This window comes from Homo sapiens, chromosome 1 (genome assembly GCF_000001405.40).
Source record: "Homo sapiens chromosome 1, GRCh38.p14 Primary Assembly".
NCBI lineage: Eukaryota > Metazoa > Chordata > Mammalia > Primates > Hominidae > Homo > Homo sapiens.
Window position 1 is genome coordinate 178462165 of NC_000001.11, and position 10170 is coordinate 178472334.

At 38.0% G+C, this 10170-nt stretch overlaps 1 protein-coding gene across 19 annotated transcripts in view; it reads left to right on the forward strand.

The window, feature by feature from the left end:
* The window catches only part of RASAL2 (RAS protein activator like 2), a 384747-nt gene that overhangs the window by 368061 nt on the left and 6516 nt on the right, over window positions 1–10170 (forward strand). For 10 of the 19 annotated variants that reach the window (NM_001437626.1, NM_170692.4, XM_017002850.2 and 7 more), the window contains 3 exons: window positions 2114–2248; window positions 3756–3958; window positions 5170–5257. In NM_001437626.1, coding sequence (NP_001424555.1) covers window positions 2114–2248; window positions 3756–3958; window positions 5170–5257 — 426 coding nt within the window. Of the gene's footprint in view, window positions 1–2113; window positions 2249–3755; window positions 3959–5169; window positions 5258–8528; window positions 8560–10170 lie in introns of all 19 variants that reach the window. The other 9 variants (NM_001437625.1, NM_001437627.1, XM_017002849.2 and 6 more) reach the window with 1 other exon arrangement.

Here is a 10170-nt window from a genome sequence, read left to right on the forward strand (position 1 = left end):
TTTTGGACTATAAACTAGAGATATTTTTTGCTATTTATCCAGCTTATAAGGAGATGGAACAATCATTGAAAAGAAGCCTTTGGTGCCCTTCCAAAGGATTAGGGGAAAAACATAGAATATTCTCTAAGTAATAAATTATATTTTAGTAATGAATTCTAAAGATAATCCAGAATAATAAATGAATAATATTTTATTGAGCATCTGTTGTGTATTTAACTAGTCAGTATCATTTAAAAGAACTGTATGATATGATGCCCATTAGATTGACTAATTGGAAAATAAGAGCAACGCTTATAAGACCAAGAATATATAAAAGATAGTATATAGTTTTTTCATTTGAAGAACATACTACAACAAAAAAATTCATGAAACAAAAATCACCTCTGTTTCCTTTCAATCTAGCACAATAACTATTTTTTATTTATTCTATATTTCTAGCCTTTTTACAATTTTGTGAAGGCTTTATCATTAATAGAAGGAATAGTTAGGATTGATCTATTTTGTCACTTTTATTTTTATTATTTTGACCACCTACTGTATGCCAAGCAAAGTGCTAGGATATATTAGGAAGTGGCTGAAAATAAGATTTGACCAACAAAATAGTAGAAATTTCTAGAAGTTCATTCACAATTGCTTAGTGTGTACGGGTCTATTTATATAAACTATGCACATCCATCCTCAGGCATGAAGCTATTTTTATTGATATATAACTATAATCTGTAAATCGACTAAACCAGATCTTTCTTCACACCTTTAAGAAATGTCCCTATGTTACTTTTGCATGTGTAAGTTTTAAAGTCTCTCCCAACCCATCTCTGATAGCCTTTTAGTCTCTGCAATCAGTTTTTTAATCTGGTCTTCCTCACTCTCCAGTTCATCAAAATACCCCTTCTTTTAAAATATTTATTTAGAGTTTAACTGAGTTCTATTTCAGAATGGTATAAAGATCCTTAAGATGTAATGGCTGTGATAGGGGAGAAAATGCCCTTCAATTATGAAATTATGGAATTCTGGTCCTTAAAATACAAATCCCTCTATTTAATTATAAAAGGCTAACTCACATGCCAAGTTTTGTACTCTCTCTTTAGCTTACTCTCTCTCTCTGAGGCAGGACAGAGGGGAAAAAAATTGTGTGTTTCCATCATTGTTTGTGGAGAAAGCACTAATGTTCAATAGCCTAATATAAATTGTAATATCTAATGCTAGTTTTTGAAACATAAATATTGTAATGACTGACACCTAACCTCTCTGTAGCACTCTGAAGTTTCCAAAGAATTTTCAAATATATTGTCTTATCCTCACAGCTCCCTATGAGATGATCAAGATAGGTGGTGGTGACAGTGTTGGTATGTCTATTCAGTAGATTAGGAAAATAGACTACCCAGTATCCATCATTTTGATCCTGTATTCAAGAAATTTTCCAGTATAAGGACCCTTGAGTGATCTTAATCCATCATGAAGTCAGTGTTCTGTAAAGATAACCAGCATCACTTGTCCTTCTTTTTCTCTAAATCAATAATATGAAAACTAAATAGACTGGTGCAAAAGTAATTGCAGGTTTTGCCATTTAACCCACAATTACTTTTGCACCAACCTAGTATTTGCCATTCTGATATATAAATGGGCACTTTGTGAGTTTGTTTAGCACTAATCAGTTTTTTGGTTTCTGATTGTGTCTGGGCTAAACAGATATTTTGACCATCAGGTTATGCTTTCTTTCTCTTATTTAATCATCAAATAGACTTTTATGGCATAAAAGACTTTTATGGCAGAGGTCATTTATTAATTTCAGCAGGCAATTTGTTACCTACCAGTATTTGGACCACTGGGCAAATTAACAATTTTAAGGCTTTGACTTTCTTTAGAGGGAGAATAAGGATGCCTCTTGGATATGATATATGCAACTTTCTATTCAGAATAGTTTGCACTTATACAAATGTATATTCTCTTTCCCCACCCCTAGCCTTGGCATTAGTAAAATAATACTTAAAGCTAAGAGCATTTATTAGAAAACTGAGAGATCACAGTTAATGTCTTCCAAGAATAGCTGTTTGTGAAACATAGCACACGGGTGAGCTGTTAGGGGAAATGCTAATAACTGTTTCTGATGCAGGTTCAGTCACCTGTGGACTCTGCCACAATGTCCCCAGTAGAGAGGACAGCAGCCTGGGTTCTGAACAATGGGCAGTATGAAGAGGATGTGGAAGAAACTGAGCAAAATCTAGATGAAGCCAAGCATGCTGAGAAGGTAGAACCTAGTCTGCTTCATCAACTTTCTGATCCCAAAATGACAGGCCACTAAAAAGGTTATCTAGCTAAGAACATAAACTCATCCCACCCCCATCTTCACCTCTACCCCTTATGTTAATCATCCTATACATATCTATGTAAAATAGGTCAGTGGTGTGTGTGTGTGTGTGTGTGTGTGTGTGTGTGAATATACATGGAAAATGTTCATCTTGCTAGGGGGTGGCAGTTAGCTACTATTTTTTTTAATGTAGATGCCTTAATCTAGAGGACACTCTACTATTCATTTCTAGTCATTTTAGGTAAATATTTCATGTTTCTGTGTTTCCATAAACTTGTTGGTCTTCACCCAAGGACAAAATTACCCTAGGGCAAGACTTTTTGTTTATCTTGGTAACAATTAGGTTTTGGTTTTAGTTGTTTTTTTTTTTTTTTTTTTTTTTTTGCCTTTTCTGGATAAAGAATGTATAGCTCTATAAATGACTGTTAAAAGGATATTATCTATTGTTTAGATTTTGTTTTTTTGTTTTTTAAGGAAAAGTTGACAAGGGGTAAAAGGGTTATCAAACAAGAACCTTGTCATCATATATAGCATTATATTATTTAATTGACAACCAGACAATTAGCTTCTTTTTATCAGCATGATATTCCAGTGTACTCAAACCCCAGCCACAGCAACTACAGTACAGGAAAGGGCCATGTAACTAATTGAGTCACTGAATTTATGTAAAGCTCCTTAGAACACAAACATGTATGTTCCAGCAAGCAGTACAAAATTGGGCAGGTGAGTCATATTACAAAAATGGGCAAAGAAGCAATATTAATTGGCCCTAGAGAACATGTAGGCCTTTGTTTAGTGCTTGTGACTGGAATACTTTACACTTTTATAGTTGGGGAAAAAGCAGCAATAACCTCTGCCATGAAAGTCTTATTGATTCATGGGCTTAACATTATAGAAATGTTGCTTGTTCTCTGTAGGGCTGATTCTAGTAGAACAAAGGAATGGCAGTCTGATGAGCTAAGACACATCAGAGATCCTACAGTGCAGATGATGACACAGAATCTTTTTCTCTTATAGACAACTGACTTTTGGCTTATTTTAAGTGATTTGTCAGACTTTTAAGTACTTCATCTGGTTTTTTTTTCCCCCTTTCATTTGATACCATCACAGATTGGATGTGGCTTATAGCAATGGTAGCCTAGTGTAGAGAGAGATACATATATATGTAGAATTTGGAATGCCAAGTTAAGATTTAAAATGTAATTTTAGTAAGGAAGGCAATGCTCCATTAACATTTATGCCAGTTGATAATTATAAAGAATATTAAGAACAGTATAGGGAATGACAGCACAGCCAGCATCTAGCTACACTGCTTAGGGTTTCTTTTGTTAAAAAAAAGAAAAAAGAAAAAGAAAAAAAGAAAGAAAGAGAAAGAAAGAAAAGTAAATCACTGATTTCTAAAAGCAATGTGACTCTAGTTTTTGTCTCCTTGCCTCCTCTGCCCTAGTATGAACAAGAAATTACTAAACTGAAGGAGCGCCTGAGAGTTTCCAGCCGGCGACTGGAGGAATATGAACGCCGCTTGCTGGTGCAGGAGCAGCAGATGCAGAAGCTGCTGCTGGAATACAAGGCCCGACTGGAGGACAGCGAGGAGCGGCTCCGAAGACAGCAGGAAGAAAAAGATAGCCAGATGAAAAGCATCATCAGCAGGTTAGACATCACCTGGCAGCAGATGTGGGCTAGTTAGCAAGACAAAGAATTGAGATGATCCACAGAACCCTGAAGGAATGGCAGCAAAAGCCATTTTTATCCTTGTGGTACTGAGTACAAATGTGATAATTGACTGTATCTCTTAAAATATCCTAAATATGAGACCTTGGGCACTTCCTATGAAGATAATCTGTTTTTCTTTAACCATAACAATTAGAAAAAATTAAAACTTGGTGGTTTACTTGAGAAATCTTAGAGGAGAACTCGGTTTTAAAAATGTAAATATCCAATGCCCAAGACTAAATTAATCTTTCAAAATAAGTCCAGAAACATGGAAAGGAATTTTATGGAATATCTTTAGGGCCAGAGGACCTCTTTTGAGAGTGCTGCAGATGCCAAGGGAGAAAAAGGGAGGGTCAGTTTTACCAAACACTTGTATAGCACTCGACATGGGACACACACCTTTCTAAGCACTTTACACATAATAGTTTGTTTAATCTTTATCACAGCCTCCACCTACGCATTATTATTCTCATTTTACAAATAAACAGGCAACAAATTCATTAAGTCACTTGCCCAAGGTCACATAGTGATGCACCAGGATTTGAATCCCGGACTCCAGATTCCATGCTCATAACCTCTATGCCTCAATATTTGTAAAATGCTATGGACAGGTCAAGTAAACAGAACTGTTTGTTGTTTTAATAGTGTGGAGGTAATTGACAGTCTTACTGAGAGGTGTTTGGGTAGACTGGCAGAATTAAACATCAATGAGTTAAGATGTGAATGGCGGACAGAAAACAAGCTAAACATACTAGGTATAGAGTACTCATTGAGGAAACTTAGCTGTGCAAGGGAAGAGAAAGTGGGCCAGGTTTAGGGTAACTTGAGATTAAGAGAGGGTTGTTTGTTTTTTGTTGGTTGATTTGATATTTTAAGATGAAATAAGTTGTGCTCAGGAAGGAATCTGAGAGAGAAGAGGGAGGAAATGATTATGGGGTTACTATTCCAAGGGAGATGAAAATGTGTGGGATCCAGGCACAAGGAGAAAAATCAACCTTAGATGTCTTATTCCAAGGTAGTAGAGAAGAAAGAAAAGATGGTTGCAGGTGTCTTATTAAAAAGGGCAGAGGATATTGAGTTTTCCTGTTCTCTACACTAGCTAGCCCTTTCTTTGAAGATGTTGATATTTCCTTCCTGCCACATTCTAGGCTAATGGCTGTGGAAGAGGAACTGAAGAAGGATCATGCTGAGATGCAAGCAGTTATTGATGCAAAGCAGAAAATAATTGATGCACAGGTAAGCAGGCTTTGAATCTAATAGAAGGCACTTGTTTATAGTAACGATTATTTCCTGACTTCACACCCTTGCAAATGCCAAGGCAGGTACCCAAAAATGTGTCATTGAAAAGTTCTAGACGCTACATTTTGAAGATTAAATGAGTGTCTGTGTGACCTCCATTATTTTCCTTTCTTTCACTGGTGAGAAGTCTGTTTACTCAGCAAAGTATTAGCGTGTTTAGTGCAGTTGCTTGACAAATCTCAACCTAGTGCATGATGGGGTTTGCTTCTTTCCCTATGGAAAGGAGGGCATTTTCTAAGGGCGTAATTGTGAAAAGTGCACTGCATGTGCCTGGCTTGTGACCTCCACTGACCATTGCTTGGCTGTGCTGTTCATGGTCTTGTCAGTCACGTCCACTGCCATCAACCTTTTGCCCCAGACAGTAATGGAATTGCCAGGGAAAGACAAGGTTGTAAAAAGGTACCTTTCCTTGTTGTTCTTTTGGTTTAGGGTTTGGCATTGCTGCTTGGAATGTGCTTGGCTGCTCTTCTTTGTTGGTGCTGTGCTTAGAGAGCATCTTTTGATAAAACTTTAAAAAAAGAAAAGGTTGTTGAAATCAGAACCTAGGCTTCTGCTCACTGTAGCTCACACCTGTGACACCAATGACATAAAGGCTGCCAAGAGCACCTCATAGGGACATGTCAATGATTAGAGCAAAATCCAGGAGGCAAGAAGTGTTTCTAACTCCTTTTTATTTTATCATTGCAAAATATGGTTGTATTTCTTAGGGTGAAACAAATAACAAAAAGCAGTTACAGTTTTTATAGTTTTGATAGTGGCTGATCTAGCCACTGAATGTGTTGCTTCCCTGAAGATAGCCGATCCAGGTTTGCATTTTTCAACCTTAAATGACATATCATATCCCTAAGCTGTGAAATAAAAAATGAGAGCAAGGATTTTATGCATAGATAGCCTCCTCCCTTCTCTAGGTATCAGCTAGTAATCAACATATTTTAGAGCCCCCAGTATTCTTAAACATGTACTTAACAGTCTAGTTTCCTTACAGAGTCCATGTGGAATGGGTTTATTTTTCAACAAAATTGAGAGTGAGGCTGAAAGCACGGTCGTGGAAAGAATGCTTCATGGGCCTCACACTCCTTTAAACACACTAGACTTGGAAGTCAGGTGAGAGTTGTGAGGATGCAATCAGCACTGCTCCTTAAAATATTTTGGATTCTTGAACTCTATAGTTTCTGGATACTTAGACATGCGGAGAATCAGAAGAAAGGTCTGTAGTAATTATCTTACTTGGTCCTTTGAAAGAAATCTTTCTAGATGCCCCCAGGGTAGGTGAGGTAAGGGTAGTGGAGACTAGGCCATCTCACTATTCACACTATAAAAAATCATCCCAGAGACTTAAGAAAAACAGCCTGGATAAATAAGGCAATTGAGTCAGGAAAACTAATGTTAGTAGGTTTTCACTTTGGAAATTTCAATATAACAATATAAAGCAAGAAGAGTTCTATTAATAACCACACAAGGAGAGATGTTAGTACTAAGAGATAAAACAGACTTTTTAAATAATTTCAGCTGGTTTAAAAGTATCAGTCTTGGCCAGGCAAGGTGGCTGATGCCTGTAATCCCAGCACTTTGGGAGGCTGAGGCAGGCGGATTGCTTGAGCTCAGGATTTCAAGACCAGCCTGGGTAACATGGTGAGACCCACCTCTACAAAAAATGCAAAAATTAGTCAGACATGGTGGCTCATGCCTGTAGTCCCAGCTGCTTGGGGGGCTGAGGTGGGAGGATAGCTTGAGCCCAGGAGGTCAAGGCTGTGGTGAGCCATATTTGCGCCAGTGCACTATAGCCTGAGCGACAAAGTGAGACCCTGTCTTGAAAAAAAATGTAATAGTCTTAAGCAGAGGGAGCTTGGGTGTGCCACAGTTGTGGTTCTGTACACAGGCTGACAGGACAGCCTCATGATTAGCTCCTGAAGATTTCTACCCCACCCCCTAATTTTATATTAGGGCTAGGTGACTGGGTATAAAGCAGAAGTCACCTGCTAGGCATAGGAGGTAAAAGCCAGGGAGGGAATCTGATTTATTAGGACTCAAATGCTCTGGAAAGTAAGGACTTTCTCTCAGTTAACCAGGAGGGTGTCATGTGTAGGAATGGGAGAAATGCTATCCTCAAACCGTAAGTCACTGTCAGACTGGTGGTCTGCTAAGCTAGTTAATGTTTTCAGTCCATACTTCAAGACAGTGGTTTTGAAATGGTTTGGTTCTCTGGACTATTTTGGTAGAATCCAGGCACCTTTCATAAATGAATATCCAGCTCCTTCCACTGACCACTCAACAGCAAGGACCACACTCTCAACTAATGAATCAAATCATACTGGGATTGGTTAAATATAATAAATTACCTACCCAAACACAAATATTACTATATAATAAATTATTCTACCAGAGACCCACTGTGGATCCCTAAAGAATAGTTGGGAGAATCCACTAAACTATATTTGGAAAACCTCTGCACCATGCATAGCACAAATCCTAAACACTATAGTTAAATTTTAAAAAATTATAGTGTCCTTAAAAGGAAGGTTTCTTAATTCCAGCTGTTGGCTTACTGATACATTAAAATCTTATTATAGCAAATGACTTTAAACATCCTTTGGCATTCTTTGTAATGAATGACTTTTGTATCAGATCCTTTCTTTTGTAAGGATAAATCTTCTCTCTTAAGTGAATGATGGAGCAGAGCAGCCCTTCTGGCATCATTTAATAGAATGAAGACGTGTTTGGGGTGAAAGCTTCCCAGAGAAGTGACTCTTATGTCAACACTTCCCAAAACACTACCAGCCAGGTGCCCAGTAAACTGGTTTTCATGTCTCTCAGCAGCCCTGTGCTCCCAGGAAAATCTTGTCCCTGAATTCAGCCTCTGCCTCTTTTTGAGTCATTTCATGCTACAAGGCACAGGCCTGCATCAGCCACTTTCTAACAGGAACTGCAAAAGGATGAGCACTCCTTTGGTGAGTGGCAGAAGCACCTATCCTGGACCTTGTAGCTTAGGGGCCATAGGGATCCTAGTGGTGATCATAAGGATCCATTTCTTAAATATCAGACCAGAGAATGTGCCACCTTTCACCCCTGAGCATGAGGAGACACTGTGGCTCCCAGGATCTCTCTATGTGACTCAGGTGGAGAACAGAGAAGGGCTTCCTCCTATGAGAAGCAAAAGCAGCTGCCTAGTTACTGTTGCAAGTGATATCTCCGCTGTGTTAAATTACAGGTCATAAATGGAGATGAGATTATTCAAACAGGCAAGTAAACCCCGCGTCCGTTCTCTAGCTGAGCAGTTCCCAGCCCTGGCCCAGTGCACTGGCCTCCTACACATTCCAGCTCCTGCCACTCCCCACATGGGAATCCTTCCTGTCAGGTGTGGACTAGATTGCTTTCCCTTACAATCCAGGCAGAATTGAAATGTCCGAGCATCTTTTGTCAACTGAACTTGACTTTCATAAGTCTCTATTTGATTTTTTTTAACTTTTTTGTTTTATTTTGAGAGGTTGGCAATAGGGGGAAATACAAAGGGAGTTTCTTTATGTGGAAACTTTCAGCTGTTTAGTAGGGGGGCTGTTTGTCTTCAGTTGTTACCTTTTTAGGCAGTAAGTAATTACAGTCATTCTTAGGCTTTTTGACCCTTTAAAAATCAAATTTTTTATGAATTATTTATTTTTGGATGAACCCTGGAGAATCCTAATTTCCTTATGAGGCCTTATAATTTATCCCAGTTCTGAAATATCTTTTCTTTAATCGTTCAAGAAATTATCAGTTACTCAGTTTAGAGATCATTCCTAATAATGCGAGTAGGGAGGGGGGAATATCATACTTAGCTCTTACCTCTTGTTTTCTAGTATTCACTGGCCAGTTCTTACCTATTGGCTTTTCAAAGATCTATATTTGTTATCCCAGTAAACTTCATTGGTTAAAATTTTTTTAATAATAATTATTTTTTAAAAGCCTTGCAGCTCTTTCCTTTAGTTTTGTCTATCCTTAAAATGAATTACTTTCCTAAAATAAAAAGCATTTTATACCAGATGCATGGGTCATTAATAGTGCTGATTTTGTATATCTTACCACATGAGTTCTCCATCAGGGAAAGAAGGATTTTTTTTTAAATGATAATGACAAGCAAGAGCTAGTTTGTTGTTGTTTCTTTTTTTTTAATATACTTTTGAAACTGTGACCACCAGCACTGCTGCCTTACGGATCCTACCCTCCTGCCCCCAGAAAGCAGGAGAGTAAAGGGAAGTATTACTTGATGCCATGGTGGTATGTGATTTTACCTAGATTTTTCCCCCAGGGCCGTGGTCTTCACTCTGCATGCTCCCAGTAGCATGTGTCCCAAAGTGTAGCACTACATGACAGCCCTGGGTAGCTGCTGTTTTAATAGCAAGGAGCAGCACCAGCCCTGAGCCCTGCTACTTCCTCTCTGAACTTTACCATGACTAAACTTTACCATGCTTTTCTCAGGGTCAATTTTAAAAACCCCTAAGGTAGTAAAACTCCTTTTGGCTTTGGAGGTATTCCCTATGTGTTATTTTCTTTTTAATTTTACAGGCATAGGTAAAGACTGTTTCCTGCGTTGTTTTCTGAAAACTATAGACTTCATGTTAGAAAGGTTCTAGAATGATTTACTGAGCTGCTGAAGCTAAGATTAGGGTATCTCTTCTAACCTAATCCTTAGGAGACTGATAATGTTTTGATAAAATGATTTTATTAAAAAAATTTTAGATAGTCCTACTTTCCTTTAGTTAGACTGCCTATTTTTTTTCCTCTTTTCTTCCCCCTTGGTTTTTGTGTGTGTGTATTCACCAATGCTTGGTTTCCAAATATTGTTTCTAAAGCATTTTTTTTCAGAGACTCAAAAG